The sequence below is a fragment of the Homo sapiens genome, chromosome 5 (assembly GCF_000001405.40).
Source record: "Homo sapiens chromosome 5, GRCh38.p14 Primary Assembly".
In the NCBI taxonomy this organism is placed as follows: domain Eukaryota; kingdom Metazoa; phylum Chordata; class Mammalia; order Primates; family Hominidae; genus Homo; species Homo sapiens.
Window position 1 is genome coordinate 132,988,886 of NC_000005.10, and position 18,156 is coordinate 133,007,041.

General features: G+C 41.5%; 1 protein-coding gene and 1 pseudogene across 15 annotated transcripts in view; one reads left to right on the plus strand and one right to left on the minus strand.

Annotated features, from left to right (window-relative positions):
* Positions 1-8,099: 8,099 nt before the first annotated feature.
* ZCCHC10 (zinc finger CCHC-type containing 10) overlaps positions 8,100-18,156 on the minus strand; it is a 29,565-nt gene continuing 19,508 nt past the window's right edge. For 5 of the 15 annotated variants that reach the window (NR_131767.2, NR_131766.2, NM_001308130.2 and 2 more), the window contains 3 exons: positions 17,874-18,035; positions 11,247-11,316; positions 8,100-9,965 (listed from right to left, as the gene is read on the minus strand). Coding sequence is in view for 12 of the 15 variants with exons in the window: in NM_001308130.2 (NP_001295059.1) it covers positions 9,960-9,965; positions 11,247-11,316; positions 17,874-18,035 (238 nt within the window). In the remaining 3 variants the exon portion in view is untranslated. The remainder of the gene's footprint in view (positions 9,966-11,246; positions 11,317-17,873; positions 18,036-18,156) is intronic. The other 10 variants (NR_125337.3, NM_017665.4, NM_001300816.3 and 7 more) reach the window with 5 other exon arrangements.
* Positions 11,511-14,480, plus strand: COXFA4P3 (COXFA4 pseudogene 3; annotated as a pseudogene).

Genomic DNA, 18,156 nt, shown 5'->3' on the forward strand with positions numbered 1-18,156 from the left:
GTAATCCCAGCACTTTGGGAGCCCGAGGCCGGTGGATCACGAGGTCAGGAGTTCAAGACCAACCTGGCCAAGATGGTGAAACCCCATCTCTACTAAAAATACAAAAAATTAGCCTGGCGTAGTGGCACGCGCCTGTAATCCCAGCTACTCCGGAGGCTGAGGCAGAGAATTGCTTAAACCTAGAGGGGCGGAGGTTGCAGTGAGCCGAGATCGTGCCACTGCACTCCAGCCTGGGAGACAGAGTGCGACTCCGTCTCAAAAAAAAAAAAAAAAAAAAAAGAAAAAAAGAATTTATGTCTGTAGTTGTCTGAGGATTGGTTAGGGGTAGAGTAAGCAGGGATGAATGAGTAGAAAAGATTACAAAGGGGCACAAGGAAGCTCTTGGGGGCAATGGTTATGGTTAATTACCTTCCTTGTGGTGATGATTTCATGAAAGTATATATATGTCAAAAATTATTGAATTGTACTATTTAATAATGTGCAGATTATTGTTAAGGTTGTAGGAAATAATTGGGAAGTAATGAAAGAAAAAATTGATCTACAGCCCTGGCAACATGGTAAAACCCGTCTCTATCAAAAAAATACAAAAAAAATTAGCCAGGCATGGTGGTGCCCACCTGTAATCCTAGCTACTCGGGAGGCTGAGGTGGGAGAATCGTTTGAACCCAGAGGCAGAGGTTGCAGTGAGCTGAGATCATGTCACTGCATTCTAGCCTGGGCGACAGAGTGAGACCCTGTCTCAAAAAAAAAAAATTGATATATAATCTTACTACCCAAACATGAGAATTGTTAGTAATTTGATCACTATCAAACTCTACAGACACATTTTCAAATACCCAAGTGTTATCTGAATTTTTTTTTTTTTTTTGAGACGGCGCCTCGCTTTGTCTTGCCCAGGCTGGAGTGCAGTGGTGTGATCTCAGCTCACCGCAGCCTCTGCCTCCTGGGTTCAAGCGATTCTCCTGTCTCAGCCTCCCAGGTAGCTGGGATTACAGGTGTGTGCCACCACATCCAGCTAATTTTGTGTTTTAATAGAGATGGGGTTTCACCATATTGGCCAGGCTGGTCTCGAACTCCTGGCCTCAGGTGATCCACCCGCCTCAGCCTCCCAAAGTGTTGGGATTAGGATTATAGGTGTGAGCCACCGAGCCCAGCCTAAAGTTATTATTATTATTATTATTTTTTGAGACAGAGTCTTGCTCTGTCTCCCAGGCTGGAGTGCAGTGGCACAATCTCGGCTCAGTGCAACCTCTGCCTCCCGGGTTTAAGTGATTCTCTTGCCTCAGCCTCTTGAGTAGCTGGGATTACAGGTGCCCGCCACTATGCCCAGCTAAATTTTGTATTTTTTGTAGAGATGGGGTTTCACCATGATGGACAGGCTGGTTTTTAAAAAATTGTAATATTTTATTGTGTTAATAAAAATAGTTTGACATTTCTCACATTGCTAAGGTCAGTTTATATTTGTCATATAGTAGCCACTATTATTGCAATTTTACTGAAATGTGTATTTTTATTTTAATATTCACCCAGTCATCCAAACAACAGAACTTGAAACTTTTCCAGTATATCTCTCTCACTACCATAATCAACTAATCACAAAATTCTGTCATTTCTACCTTCTCGTCTCTCATATCTGTTACCTCCTTTCTGGTCTCATTGTTAATGTATTAGGTTAGACCCTCATTTCTCTTCTGGACAATTACAATAATGTGTCCCATTTTCTTTTCTTATTGCTAAAGACATAAAGCCAGGGAAGGTGAGGTGGCTCAGGCCTGTAAATCAGCACTTTGGGAGGCCAAGGCAGTAGGATCACTTGAGGCCAGGAATTTAAGGTGAGCCTGGGCAACATGGTGAGATCTTGTCTCTACAAAAAAGTTTTTAAAAAATTAGCTGGGGACCAGGCGCGGTGGCTCACGCCTGTAATCCCAGCACTTTGGAAGGCCCAGGTGGGTGGATCATGAGGTCAGGAGATCGAGACCATCCTGGCTAACATGGCGAAACCCTGTCTCTACTAAAAATATAAAACATTAGCCGGGCGTGGTGGCGGGCGCCTATAGTCCCAGCTACTCGGGAGGCTGAGGCAGGAGAATGGCGTGAACCCGGGAGGCAGAGCTTGCAGTGACCCGACATCAGGCCACTGTACTCCAGCCTGGGCGAGAGAGCAAGACTCTGTCTCAAAAAAAAAAAAAGTAGCTGGGCATGGTGGTGCATGCCTGTAGTCTGAGGTACTCCAGAGGCTGAGGTAGTTAGGAGCACTTGAGCCTGGGAAGCAGAGTCATCTGCAGTGAGCTGTGATTGAGCTAGTGCACTCCAGCTTGGGTGACAGAGCAAGATCCTGTCTCAAAATAATAGTAAGCCAATAAATTTAATAAAATATGAAAAGACAATTTTCCTTGAATATTTAAATGTTGATTACAAGCTGATCAGCTATGTATTTTGTGATTGTTATACATATATGTTTACAAATATATATAATGTGTATTTAAAATATTTCTTTCTTTTTTTTTTTTCTTTTTTTTGAGACGGGGTCTTACTCTGTCACCCAGGCTGGAGTGCACTAGCTCAATCACAGCTCACTGCAGACTTGACTTCCCCAAGCTCAGGTGATCCTCCCACCTCAGTTTTTGTATTTTTGGTAGAGACGGGGTTTTGCCATGTTGCCCAAGTTGGTTTCGAACACCTGGGCTCAACCAATCTGTCCGCCTGGACCTCCCAAAGTGCAAAGATTACAGGAGTGAACCACCATGCCCAGCCTTCTGTATTTATATATATATATTTACAAACACCATTAACATCAAGGGTTTTATTAATTTTATCTTTTTTTTTTTTTTTTTTTGAGACGGAGTCTCGCTCTGTCACCCACACTGGAGTGCAATGGTGCGGTGTTGGCTCACTGCAACCTCCGCCTCCTGGCTTCAAGCGATTCTCCTGCCTCAGCCTCTCAAGTAGCTGAGATTACAGGCACCTGCCACCACACCCAGCTAATTTTTGTATTTTCAGTAGAGACGGGGTTTCACCATGTTGGCCAGGCTGGTCTCGAACTCCTGACCTCAGGTGATCCGCTCGTCTCGGCCTCCCAAAGTGCTGGGATTACAGGCATGAGCCACTGCGCCCAGTCTGGTAATATTATTTTGATGCTTTCTCAGGATTACATTAATATTACAGACCCAAAAGAAAAGTAATACCATCTCACACAAACTGAGATGATAAAATCTGGGTCACAGATAATTTGATTCTTGGTTGAAGTATAGGGCTTGGCTGCTTCTTATAGAGTCATTTGATTGGTTTCTCTATTTCTAGTCTTGACACTCTTGACAAGCTTTTAAATGTTTCTTGAATGTAAGATTTTCCTGTCATCTTCCAAATAAAATACAAATTCCGTAGCCTGACCTGTAGTACCCTTGATAATAAAACAATTATCACCGGCAGCCTCAACCCCGGCTAGTCTCCCATACAAACAGGCTTCCCACCAGGCCCAACAGCTCTTTCTCAGCCAAATCCACCTCCCCTGGAGGACTCTACCAAACTTCCAGCAATTGTTTAAGACTCTAGGCACTCTAGCAAGACTTTTGCAGCACTTACATCTATAATTATTTATTAATAGCCTGTAAACCCTCAAGGGACAGGGCCAGGAACTTAATAACAGTTGTTAAAGTTTGCTTGAATTAATAAGTTTTCTCTTCTGTCCACGGGCACAGTGACCCTTCAAGATTGCTAACTAGAGAGGATTTTTCCTCGTGCAGATGTCTCGTGGTTTTGGTTTACATGTTTTGTGATCCTAGATTTTGTTATGGATTTGCCTAGTACAGGAATCACCTTTTCAGAGTCCCCTCAGGACTTTTATTTATTTATTTATTTATTTATTTATTTATTTATTTATTTATTTTTTGAGATGGAGTCTCACTCTGTCACCTAGGCTGGAGTGCAGTGGCATGATCTCAGCTCACTGCAAGCTCTGCCTCCCAGGTTCATGCCATTCTCCTGCGTCAGCCTCCCCAGTAGCTGGGACTACAGGCACCTGCCATCGCGCCAGGCTAATTTTTTGTATTTTTAGTAGAGACGGGGTTTCACCATGTTAGCCAGGATGGTCTCGATCTCCTGACCTCGTGATCCACCCACCTCGGCCTCCCAAAGTGCTGGGATTACAGGCGTGAGCCACCGTGCCCAGCCTATTTATTTATTTATTTATTTATTTATTTAATTTTAGCTTAATTTTAGGCTAGCCAAATGAAACAATGGGAGTGGAGAAGGAACAAAGAAATCTGTAACTGGTTGTGATCAATTAGTTGTAAACACCACTGGACTTGGACCAGCCTCCCTCGGGACTTCTTAAGGAAGTGAATCAGTTTATCGAGTAGATAGCACAGTGTCCAAACACTAAAAAGTTACCCAGCAGTTCTATGATTTTTCATTCTTGATTTTGTCCACAATTTTTGTTAGAGAACTATCTGGAGCTGAAGATTTATAAATGAGGCCCAACATTACTCATTGTCTTTATTCCAAGTGGTTCTTAGCATATGGCAACTTGTATTGTTTCTTATTTAATTTTAAATTAGTCATGGGCTGGGCGCAGTGGCTCACGCCTGTAATCCTAGCACTTTGGGAGGCTAAGGTGGGTGGATCACTTGAAGTCAAGAGTTCAAGACCAGCCTGGCCAACATGGTGAAACCCCATCTCTACTAAAAATACGAAAATTAGCCAGGCAGTAGTGGTGCGCGCCTGTAATCCCAGCTACTCGGGAGGCTGAGGCAGGAGAATCACTTGAATCTGGGAGGTGGAGGTTGCAGTGAGCCAAGATTGCACCACTGCACTCCAGTCTAGGGAACAGAGTAAGACCTGTCTCAAAAAAATAAAAAATTAATTAATTAATTAATGGAGTACTCACTAATCATGGCAGACGGTGTCTCACACCTGTAATCTCACCACTTTGGGAGGCTGAGGTGGAAGGATAGCTTAAGCCCAGGAGTTCGAGACTAGCCTGGGCAACATGATGAGACCTCATTTCTAGAAAAAATACAAAAATTAGCCAGGCATGGTGGCACACACCTGTAGTCCCAGCTACTAGGGAGGCTGAAGTGGGAGGATCGCTTGAGCCTGGGAGGTCAAGGCTGCAGTGAGCTGTGATCATACCACTACACTCCAGCCTGGGCAACAGAATGAGACACTATCTCCAAAAAAAACAAAAACAAAACAAAACAAAAACATAGATGTTCACTACTGTTCACTTGCAAAATTTCATGATAAAAAAAATAAACCCACTAAGACAGCATGAACAGGAGAGGAGTGCATAGGGGTGCATCTCCTTACATAAACTTTCTACCAGTCTGCTTTCAAGCCCTCCTTGTGCCTTGGCTGGCAGAAGTCTGTGGTGCCATCAAGTTTGGAAGCTTTTCAGAGTCTGTGGCTTGCTTCCTGTTGTCTTTTACTCACTGTGGGCTTGGGCTTTGGCTTTCTTTGGTTATTCAAGTCAACATCTGCTTTTCAGCTTCTAGTATAGTTGTCATTTCTCATCTGTTACATCTCCTATGGTGAATAATTTTATGTGTCAACTTTACTGGGCTAAGGGATGCCCAGATAGCTGGTAAAACACTATTTCTGGGTGTTTTGGGAAGAGATTAGCATTTGAATTAGTAAACTGACTAAAGAAGATCCATTCCCCTAGGCATCATTCAGTCCATTGAGAGCCTATATAGAAATAGAAAAGGCAGAGGAAGAGAGAATTCTCTCTTTATTTATTTATTTTTTTTGAGACAGAGTCTCGCTCTGTTGCCCAGGCTGGAGTGCAATGGTGTGACCTTGGCTCACTGCAACCTCCACCTCCCAGGTTCAAGCAATTCTCCTGCCTCAGCCTCCTGAGAAGCTGGGATTACAGGCACCCCACCACCACACCTGGCTAATTTTTGTATTTTTAGTAGAGATGGGGTTTCACCATGTTGGCCAGGCTGGTCTCAAACTCCTGACCTCAGGTGATCCACCCACCTCAGCCTCCCAAAGTGCTGAGATAACAGGCATGAGCCACAACACCTGGCCTTTATATGTCTTTGTATAGTACTTTCCAAAGAAGAGTTCTGTTAATGTTTGTGGTTATTACTGATTAGCTTGAATAGCAGACACAAATGCCCTGGGGGGTACACAAAAAACTTTCAAGAACATTGAAGTTATTAAAGCGATTCTCCTGCCTCAGCCTCCTGAGTAGCTGGGATTATAGGCATGCGCCACCGTGCCTGGCTAATTTTTGTATTTTCAGTAGAGATGGGGTTTCACCATGTTGGTCAGGCTGGTCTTGAACTCCTGACCTCATGATCTGCCTGCCTTGGCCTCCCAAAGTGCTGGGATTACAGGCGTGAGCCACTGTGCCCAGGGGTGCCTGGCTAATTTTTGTGTTTTTTGTAAAGATGCGGTTTCACCATGTTGGTCAGCCTCGAACTCCTGAGCTCAAGCAATCCGCCTGCTTTGGCCTCCCAAAATGCTGGGATAACAGCCGTTAGCCACCGCGCTCAGCCTGGAACCACCTTAATCAAGTGATCAAGGTCAACATTGCCAGTAATAAATAAGACACATGAACATTATGAATCTCATGATATGATTGAGGACATTCCATTTCCGTAATATTCTTCCAAAAAGCATAACCTCAGTTCAATCACAAGAAAATATCAGACAAATCCAAATTTTTTTTTAGACAGTCTGTCACCCATGAAGGAGTGCAATGGCACAATCTCGGCTCACTGCAACCTCCACCTCCCAGGTTCAAGCGATTCTCCTGCCTCAGCCTCCTGAGTAGCTGGGAGTACAGGCGTGCGCCACCACGCCTGGCTAATTTTTTTGTATTTTTAGTAGAGAGGGGGTTTTACCATGTCGGTCAGGCTGATCTTGAACCACTGACCTCAAATGATCCAGCCACCTCGGCCTCCCAAAGTGCTGGGATTACACGCGGGAGTCACCACGCCCGACCAAACAAACCCAGATTGAGGGGTATTAGACAAGATAATTCTTCAAAAGTGACAAGGGCATGAAAGACAAGGTAACACTGAAGTATTGAGACTGTAGTAAAGGTAGAACTAAAAGTATTTCTGGGTAGTATTCTGGAATATAAAAAGGATATTAGTGGGAAAATGAGCAAAATATGAATAAGGTTTTCAGTTTAATAGTATTTTACTATGCTATAATAGGATGTCTTTAAAAAATAGTATTTTACTAGATGTTAAATTTCTTGGTTCTGGCAATTGTGACATGGTTATGTAAGACGTTAACACTATGGGAAGCTAGATGAGGTTTATAAGGAAATTGTACTATTTTTGCAACTTTTCTATAAATCTACAGTTCAAAATTTAAAAAGAATAAATATGGCTAAGAATATGAAACACCCTCTCTGCACTTTTTCCACTTCCAGCGTTAACTTATGGCTAATGCTGTATTTTCATTCTAGGGTAAAATTGCTATATAAAGTCTATTAATATAAACAAAATGTGTGTGGAATGAAAACCTATGATCTAACGACTCCTTTTGATATGAATGTGGTTAAGTAACATACTCACTACATTTGCCAGGGACTCAACTTCCAGAGTCCTGCCTTTAGGCAGGACTAAAAATAAAACTCTCTAGAAGTTAGTCTCCACTTTGCCATTGATTCTGTTTTTTGTTTTTTCTCACTCTGTCACCCAGGCTGTAGTGCAGTGGCACACTCATGGCTCAGTGCAGCCTCAACCTCCTGGGCTCAATCTATTCTCTTGCCACAGCCTCCTGAGTAGCTGGGACTATAGGGGCACATCACCATGCCCAGCTAATTTTTTAATTTTTTGTAGAGACAGAGTCTTACTATGTTGTCTAGGCTGGTCTCATATTCCTGGACTCAAGTGATTCTCCCGTCTTGGCTTCCCAAAATGTTGGGATTACAGGCATGAGCCACTGTGACCAGCCTGATTCTGTCATTTTGAATGAAATGTGTGACTAGAAGAACTGAGTTCCTGCTCTCTGTACCTCTGCAGTCATACTTTTAACAGCCATAATAGTAAAACTTTAAAATTGGAATTTGTTCAAATGTCTTTACACCTCAAATGGAATAACTGACATTAAATAAAACACTAAAGAGATAACAGAAGTTTAAGCTTGTGAGCACAAATTGTGAGTTTTATTTAACTGCAAGTGATGCAACCTATGTAACACATTCTTTTCTCATCCGTGTTCTTTAACTGCTAATATTACCTTTACAGAGACAAACATTATAAAATGTGCCTGATTGGTAATTTATTAACTCTATCTGTCAAGTGATAATATTCTGTAGGCAGCCTTTGAAATGATGTTTTGAGAATTTATTTACAACCATTGAACACAGATGGTTTTGTAAAACTGACAATTACAGGCTCCTTAAACTCACAACATACATATATTTCAATATTTAAATAGCCTGTTTTCTTCAAAAGTAATTTTCTACTGCTTTTTCATAAAAATATAAAAAAGACAACATTTATAGTTTTAAAAACCTATATTTAACCCAAATCAAATTTTTTCTACAAATGATACCTCTTTCCAAAAAGTTAAAAAGACATCACAGAATACTGTGATGTTAAACCAAAGACTCATCACAATAACAGCATTTTACTTTTAAGAAATATTGTGCAGTATCTCCTTTTTAACCTTTCATGCTAGATTTCAACTATGTATATCCTATGTAAACACACCAGATTAATCCTAGTCATTCATATATATGCAGTAGACTGTCATATATGACCAGTTACCATACAAACTATAATACCATATTTTCAAAAATAGCAAAAAGCAATCTTTATGAAAGCTTAAAAAAAGCTTTTAATAAAAGGCGACCAACATTGCCCTAATTTTCAGTAAAAATTACCTCTTCTTCCTACCTTTCCCCCTGCTTTGAATGGTACCTTTTATTGCATGTTAATACACAAAGATATTTCTAGCACTTCTATTTAAGTTAGCCTCTTACATGGCTGCTTTCTTTTCTGATACACTGACTTTTAACAGAAGGCACCAAGATTAGACTCCTAAGAAGTTTCAATTTTTTTGTCCCTTTTTAGGTTCCTCTAGAATAATTTTCCTCAGAAAAGGATAACTTGAAAAACTTAAGGAACCAGAAGAAAATGAATGACGTAACACAGCAATTTGAAACTTACAGCATTCAAAAACTATAAATATATTAATAGGCTCCTTGAACATACCACTTAGGACAAAAAGTCAGATAACTTTCTGAACATAAATGTAAAAATAGAGCACATTTATTAATAGTAGGAAAACTCCTAAGCTTACAGTAACAACATATTAAATCTTACATAACATACAGCCAAAAGCATTAGAAATCCACTGCCAGATATCCTGACGCACCATCCTGAAAATATGTCTGATACATACCACTAACATATATAACAAAGTATGGCATTTATTTCACAGAGAGAAAAGATAGTTTCATCACACAAACAGATTTGCAGATTTCAGCTTTAAGTTCTAGAGATATATTTTAAAGATAAAAAAAACAAGATTCACCCTTCAAATAAAAGTCTCTCTCTATAAGCCATTATTAATATTCTCTATGCTCTTACAATGTAAAACATTTAGAAACTTTTGAATTCTAGAAATGTTCACCAGTTAACCTACTTGGCCTTAACATATTCTAAATTCCCTTTCAAGAATCACATCAATGTTTTCAGTCCATCAGTCCAATATGAATGGAGCAACTCTATTTCTTTTTCTTCTTCTTTGGTGGTTCATCGTCAGAGCTGCTATCTGTGCTGGTGCTACTGCTACTGGAAGAGCTGGAATCTGAGTCTGAATCAGAGGAGGAGGAAGAGGTTGTGGAGGAGGCTGAGGATGAGGAACTAGAGGAGCTTTCATCAGTGTCACTGTCCTCTGAGGAGGAAGAGGTAGATGTTTCTTCACTCTCTGATGAAGAATCACTGGCAGAACTGTCACTGCTACTGCTACTGGAACTGGTTACACTCTTAGACCTATTAGACAATACAGAGTTATATACATGGGAAGGTGACATGTAATAGAATGTTAAAAGCAATTTCATTTTTTTTTTCTTTTCGAGACAGAGTCTTGCTCTGTTGCCCAGTGTGGAGTGCAGTGGCACAATCTCAGCTCACTGCAACCTCTGCCTCCCAGGTTCAAGAAATTCTCTTGCCTCAGCCTTCCAAGTAGCCAGGATTACAGGTGCGCACACCGACGCCCAGATGATTTTTGTATTTTTAGTAGAGACGGGGTTTCATCATGTTCACCATGTTGGCCAGGCTGGTCTCGAACTCCTGACCTCATGATCTGCCCGCCTCAGCCTCCCAAAGTGCTAGGATTACAGGCGTGAGCCACCGCGCCCAGCCAAAAGCGATTTCATATGATTCCATATATATGCTTATATATTGAAGCTTTGCTAGCATGTTATCCTTAGGTTTGATATTTTGGAGATTGCCTGTTGTAAACCACAGTCCCTCTCTTTACAAGGCATTGTTACTTCAGCAACTTAATTCTCTTGGATGGAATTCAAGATAAGCATATCTACTATATTACATTTCAGAGGGAATAATGTCAGAATAAAGCTGCAGTATAACAATTGGGTCTATTTAAACCTCACGTAGCTTAGCTGGTGACTGTTTCATCATCTTTATTTTAACTACTTCAGACCAGATATGGCTGGCCAACAATTTCTTACCAGTCTATTAACACTTCCTATTCTAAGCCAAGAGAAGACAATTATTTATTGTTTCCACGTACAAGGACTCTAGAAAGTTGGAGTAAAAGGAGAAATGGAAGCAATGCATTTCCAGACAGGTTAAAAAAAGGAACTTATCAGAAAATAGGATGATTATTTAATTATAAATTGCAGTAAGAGGCTTCAGATCCAAATCTTATAGCTATTTTTTTTTGAGACAGAGTTTCGCTCTGTTGCCCAGGCTGGAGTGTAATGGCATGATCTTGGCTCATGGCAACCTCTGCCTCCCAGGTTCAAGCAATTCTCCTGCCTCAGCCTCTCAAGTAGCTGGGATTACAGGCATGTGCCACCACACCCAGCTAATTTTTCTATTTTTAGTAGAGACACGGTTTCACCATGTTGGACAGGCTGGTCTCCAACTCCTGACCTCAGGTGATCCACCCACCTTGGCCTCCCAAAGTGCTGGGATTATAGGCATGAGCCACTGCATCTGGCATAGCTATTGTTTTAAAATCACCTTTCCCATCCCGCCAATTAGTATTACATGTTATCTATAAAACACTGCTAAAACCACACATACCTTTTTTTCTTGGCCTTTCTTTCTACATTGGTTTCTCCAATGCTGATAAACACGAGGGGGAAAAAAGCTCCTGTTAATAGAGTGATTATACACAGCTCAGACAAGCCCTTCTACTATCCCCCAAATCATTTTACTCTGGAGAAAGATTCTGTGTTTTTATCACATACAGAGTACAGTATTTCTTATTATAAGCAAGTGGAAAGTCTGCCATTGTAGGCTGTATACGGTACATGCAGTCAACTTAACCAGCATTTAAGCAAGACAATGCATCTTAGCACGTGTATAAAAGTCAGGTAGGTTAGTAGTTAAGATGATTAAATTTTTTTAGTCTGGAACTTAGGCTGATATAGCTGTATCACTACCTCCTGAACAACAGAACAAAGCTAATAGCACAATAGCCCTAATTTGTAGTTTGAGTTCTCAGAATCATACAAATAGCCATTTCATAATTTTTCAAAAGCAGCCCTTTAATTTAAAATAACTATTTCTTTTTCTGCATGTCCCGTTATTTACTTTTTTTTTTTTTTTTTTGAGACAAAGTCTTGTTCTGCTGTCCAGGCTGGTGCAGTGGCGCGATCTTGGCTCACTGCAACCTCCGCCTCCTGGGTTCAAGGAATTCTTCTGCCTCAGCCTCCTGAGTAGCTGGGACTACAGGTGTGTGTCACCAAGCCCGGCTAATTTTTACATTTTTAGTAGAGACAGGGTTTTATCATACTGGCCAGGCTGGTCTCAAACTCCTGACCTCATGATCCGCCCACCTTGGCCTCCCAAAGTCCTGGGGATTACAGGTGTGAGCCACCCTGCCTGGCCGAGTTATTTACTCTTTAAAGACCAGAAATGTAATACTTCAAAACTATGCTCACTCACATTAGTTATAAAGTCTGGTAAATTTGAATGAAAGGGACAAATAGCTTGCTGCTATTATTCTGTCAAACAACATGCATACTAAATCAGGTTTTTAAATTACACAATTAGGCCAGGTGCGGTGGCTCACACCTGTAATCCCAGCAGTTTGGGAGGCCGAGGCAGGCAGATCATTTGAGGTCAGGAGTTCGAGACCAGCCTGGCCAACATGGTGAAACCCTGTCTCTACTAAAAAAAACACAAAAATTAGCCAGGCTTGGTGGTGCATGCCTGTACTCCCAGCTACCCAGGAGACTGAGGCAGGAGAATCTCTTGAACCTGGGAGGCAGAGGTTGCAGTGAGCTGAGATCGCACCATTGCACTCCAGTTTGGGCGACAGAGCAAGACTCTGTCTCAAAATAAAAACAACAACAACAACAACAACAAGAAAAAAACAATTAATTCTATCACCACTGTCCTGTAAATTTAACTTTTTTTTTTCTTTTTGAGATAGGGTCTCACTGTTACCCAGGCTGGAGTGCAGTGGCATGATCTTGGCTTACCGCAACCTCTGCCTCCCAGCCTCAAGCAATCCTCCCACCTCAACCTCTGGAGTAGCTGGGACTACAACACGCACCACCATGCCTAACTTTTGTATTTTTTGTAGAGACGGGGTTTGACCATGTTGCCCAGCCTGGTCCTGAACTCCTAAGCTCAAGCAATCTGCTCACCTCAGCTTCCCAAAGTGTTGGGATTACAAGTGTGAGCCACCACACATGGCCAATGTTTTTATATCCTGGCCTTCTCTATATTTCCTAGATAATGCTTCCATCATTGTTTCCTGAGTCTCCAAACATAAACATGTATTTATGTAAAGTTTTTTACACAATGGAATTACTTACTGAATTGTCATTTTGGGCATAAAATAAGAGGGTGAAGTATACTTATTAAATTATAACTGAATCAAAATTCAGCAATCTTTTTTTTTTTTTTTTTTTTTTTTTTTGAGATGGAGTCTCCCTCTGTCGCCCAGGCAGGAGTGCAGTGCTGGATCTCGGCTCACTGCAAGCTCCACCTCCCGGGTTCATGCCATTTCCTGCCTCAGCCTCCCGAGTAGCTGGGACTACAGGTGCCCGCCACTATGTCTGGCTAATTTTTTTGTATTTTTAGTAGAGACAGGGTTTCACCATGTTAGCCAGGATGGTCTCGATCTCCTGATCTTGTGATCCACCCGCCTCAGCCTCCCAAAATGCTGGGATTGCAGGTGTGAGCCAAGGTTCCTGGCCAGCAATCTTTTTTAACAGAGCCAGATTCATGTAATTATATATATTTTTAGACCAAAATACTTGTGAGATACAATTAGAAAAACAAAAGTAAATGTCAAAATAAAATTTTATTTATGTATTTATTTTTTGTAGAGGTGAGACTTGCTATGTTGCCCAGGCTGGTCTCAAACTCCTGTCCTCAAGTGATCCTCCCACCTTAGCTTCCCAAAGTGCTAGGATTATAGGTGTGCGCCTAAACTAGAATGAAAATTTTCATAACCCGTATTTCATTCTTTAGGACAGGGGTCTTCAAACATTTTTTTGCTTACATTCCTAATAAAATAATTTCTGGAAAACTCATACTTGCAATTCTAAGTTTTAATATTTGCAAAGGGCATATTATATACATATTATAAAAAGTTCTACAATAATTTAATACCTATTATTCACATAAGAACATATGAACATTTTTAACAGCTGATACTTTTTCTTTTTTTTGAGGTGGAGGCTCGTTCTGTCGCCCAGGTGGGAGTGCTGTTGCATGATCTTGGCTTACTTCAACCTCTGCCTCCTGGGTTCAAGCAATTTTCCTGTCTCAGCCTCCTGAGTAGCTGGGATTACAGGTGCCCGCCACCATGCCTGGCTAATTTTTGTACTTTTAGTAGAGATGGCGTTTCACCATGTTGGTCAGGCTGGTCTCGAACTCTTGACCTCAGGCGATCCACCCACTTCGGCCTCCCAAAGTGTTGGGATTACAGGTGTGAGCCACCACGCCCGGCCTTTTTTTAAGAAACAGGGTCTTGGCAGATACTACTTAGCCCAGGGCCTGGTGGCTAGGCTGGTTGTCTCCTTTCCAGTTGGAGGCTTCTGCTGCAAACATTCTCCGCCAGATCATGGGTCAGGCCAAGAAGCATGCGAAGTTGATCCCCCTTTTTGTATTTATTGGAACTGGAGGTATTGGAGCAGCACTGTTTCTCTCGCCTCTGACATTGTTCAATCCAGATGTTTGTTGGGACAGAAAGACTAACCCAGAGCCCTGAACAAACTGGGTCCCAATGATCAATACAAGTTCTACTCAGTGAATGTGGATTACAGCAAATTGAAGAAAGAAGGTTCAGATTTCTAAATGAAATGTTTTACTATAAAGCTCCTTTAGAATGAAGGTCTTCCAGAAGCCATCCGCACAATTTTCCACTTAACAGGAAATATTTCTCCTCTAAATGCATGAAATCATGTTGAGGTAATCTACTGGAGATTACACTGATTAATAAATAACTGAAAGTTGAAAAAAAACCCAAAAAACCCAGCATCTTGCTATGTTGCCTAGGCTGTTCTTAGACTTCTGGCCCCAAGTGATCCTCTTGTCTTGGCCTCCCAAAGTGCTGGGATTACAGGCATGAGCCACAGCATTTGGCTGATAGTATAAATTTTAATAACTATTACATTAAAACAAACTTATTGGTAATGTGTATATATATATATTTTTGGCGAGATACAGTCTCACTGTATCACCCAGGCTGGAGTGCAGTGGTGTGATTTCAGCTCCCTGCAACTTCTGCCTCCTGGGTTCAAGTGATCCTCCTGCCTCAGCTTCCCAAGTAGCTGCGATTACAGGGTGCACCACCGCACCTAGCTAATTTTTGTATTTTTAGTAGAGACAGGGTTTTGCCATGTTGGCCAGGATGGTCTCGAACTCCTGACCTCGAGTGATCCACCCACCTCGGCCTCCCATAGTGCTGGAATTACAGGCATGAACCACTGTGCCCAGTCCGGAAATGCATTTCTTAATGACAGATTTTTTTCTAGTTTATGTATCTATAAATAAATATTTCTTCATGGTAGAATGTGACCAGGTTTGGCATCAATTAAATTCCTATTTTTAAATTTTATTTTTTCAATAGAGATGGCTCCTTGGGAATTATTTCTTATTTTTAATTTCTTTTTTTTTTTTTGAGATGGAGTTTCGCTCTCGTTGCCTAGGCTGAAGTGCAATGGTGCAGTCTCGGCTCACCACAACCTCCGCCTCCCGGGTTCAAGTGATTCTCCTGCCTCAGCCTCCCAAGCAGCTGGGATTATGGGCATGCGCCACCACGTCTGGATAATTTTGTATTTTTAGTAGAGACGGGGTTTCTCCATGTTGGTCATGTTAGTCTCAAACTCCCAACCTCAGGTGATCCACCCGCCTTGGCCTCCCAAAGTGCTGGGATTACAGGCATGAGCCACCGCGCCCGGCTTAGTTCTTATTTTATTTTTATTTTTATTTTCTGAGACGGAGTCTCGCTCTGTCACCCGGGCTAGAGTGCAGTGGCGCGATCTCGGCTCCCTTGCAAGCTCCGCCTTCCGGGTTCACGCCATTCTCCTGGCTCAGCCTCCCGAATAGCTGGGACTACAGGTGCCCACCACCACGCCCGGCTGATTTTTTGTATCTTTTTAGTAGAGACAGGGTTTCACTGTGTTAGCCAGGAAGATCTCCATCTCCTGACCTCGTGATCTGCCTGCCTCGGCCTCCCAAAGTGCTGGGATTACAGGTGTAAGCCACCGTGCCCGGCTTAATTCTTAAGTGTTACATATTTAACCTAGAGAAACCCTAACCTAAATAGATTGATTGGAATGGAAAGACTTTTGTTATTTCCATGTCACTCGATTCTCTGCATTCCATCTGTTATATGCCACAAGTCACATAATAATATTCCATTAAAATATGCTTTTTAATTGACAATTCAATTAGGTCATCTTCAATTTTGTTGAGGGAAAAACCTTAAAAAAGAATTTACTCTCAGCTGGGTGCGGTGGCTCACGCCTGTAATCCCAGCACTTTGGGAGGCCGAGGCGGGCAGATCATGAGGTCAGGAGATCGAGACCATCCTGGCTAACATGGTGAAACCCAGTCTCTACTAAAAATACAAAAAATTAGCCAGGTGTTGTTGCACGCACCTATACTCCCAGCTACTCCGGAGGCTGAGGCACAATCACATGAACCTGGGAAGCAGAGGTCGAAGTGAGCTGAGATCGCACCACTGCACTCCAGCCTGGGTGACAGAGCAAGACTCTGTCTCAAAAAAAAAATTTTTTACTCTAAAAAATTATGGCCAGCTGGGCATGGTGGCTCATGCCTATAATCCCAGCACTTTGGGAGGCTGAGGTGGGTGGATTGCTAGAGCTCAGGAGTTTGAGACCACCCTGGGCAACATGGCAAAATCCCATCTCTACCAAAAATACAAAAAATTAGCCAGGCGTGGTGGTGTGCATCTGAAGTCTCAGCTACTGGGGAGGCTGAGGTGGGAGAATTACTTGAACCCAGGAGGTGGAGGTTGCAGTGAGCTGAGACTGCACTCCAGATTGGATGACACAGTGAGACTCTGTCTCAAAACAAACAAACAAAACTATTATGACCATTCACTTTCTCAGCACAAACACCACTATTCTGCCATCTAGGTTTTTATACGTGAGGACAATACACTAAGGTATGTTAGAGATGGGTGAGAGGTATACCTTTCTTTTGTGAGATTAGAGAAGCGTTGTTAGAAAAGGGGAAGTAGAAAAGGAGACCAGTAGGCAAGTTCTCATCAGATTTGTTTTAGGAAGAATTGTATATGAATGTTGATAATCTAGAAATTGGTTATCTATTCCTGCATAACGCTTGAAGAACTTTCACGTCACAAATTGGAAGACTGTTGCCTTGAAAGTCTAAATATTTAAGACACTATTATACAGCTAACAGCCCTTAGGAAGATGCTGCTTTTTTTTTTTTTTTTTTTTTTTTGAGACAGAGTCTCCCTCTGTTGCCCAGTCGGGAATGCAGTGGCACAATCTCAGCTCACCAAAACTTCCACCTCCCAGGTTCAAGTGATTCTCTTGCCTCAGCCTCCTGAGTAGCTGGGATTACAGGTACCTGCCACTATGCCCGGCTAATTTTTGTATTTTTAGTAGGGATGGAATTTCACCATGTTGGCCAGGCGTCGGCCTCCCAAAGTGTTGGGATTATAGGTGTGAGCCACCCCGCCCAGCCAATTCTTCTTTTTATAAACATAAATCATAGCATATTATATATTCTGTTCTCTACCTTAATTAATATACCTGGTACTTCTTGGATAGCTTTCCATGTCAGCTCATATAATCTATCGGTTAATTCAATTGTCATTTCATTGACAGTTGAGGCAAAAAAGCAAAATGATTAAGACCATGAATCTGGGGGACAGGCTGCATGATTTAACACTTACTTTTTCTTCTTACTAGCTGTATGACAATGAGTAAGTTATTCAACATCTCCTTGCTTTAGTTTCTTCATATGTAAAATGAAGACAATAATACTACCTACCTTAATAGTGTAGATATCAGGTTTAAATAAGCTAATACTTATAAAGACCCTAGAATAGTACTTGGCACACAGTAAGCATCTATTAAACATTAGTAACATTATAATTAAAATCTGGAGAACCACCATGAAACGTTTGGTCCTTTAATAAATTCTATATACACATTAAAAAAATATTCCTTTGGATACCACATGTAAACCTACCTTTGTTGCAATAATAATCTGTTTTCTTTTTCTTTTAAAGCTTTCTTTAGTTCTGCTGTCCTTGAGGGCCTATGTAGGTATTTTCTTTTTCCTGTGCATTCATAAGTCCAATGTCCAAATTCCAAGCATTTCTGACATCTTACATGTTGCTTATTTGCTTCACTACAGAACAAAAAACAGAATACAAGCCTTAAAATTCTGTCTTGTGACTTTCACCCTAAAAACTATAAAAAAATATAAAGGATAAAATTATGTTTACTCTTATGGTCCAATTCATAAAAAT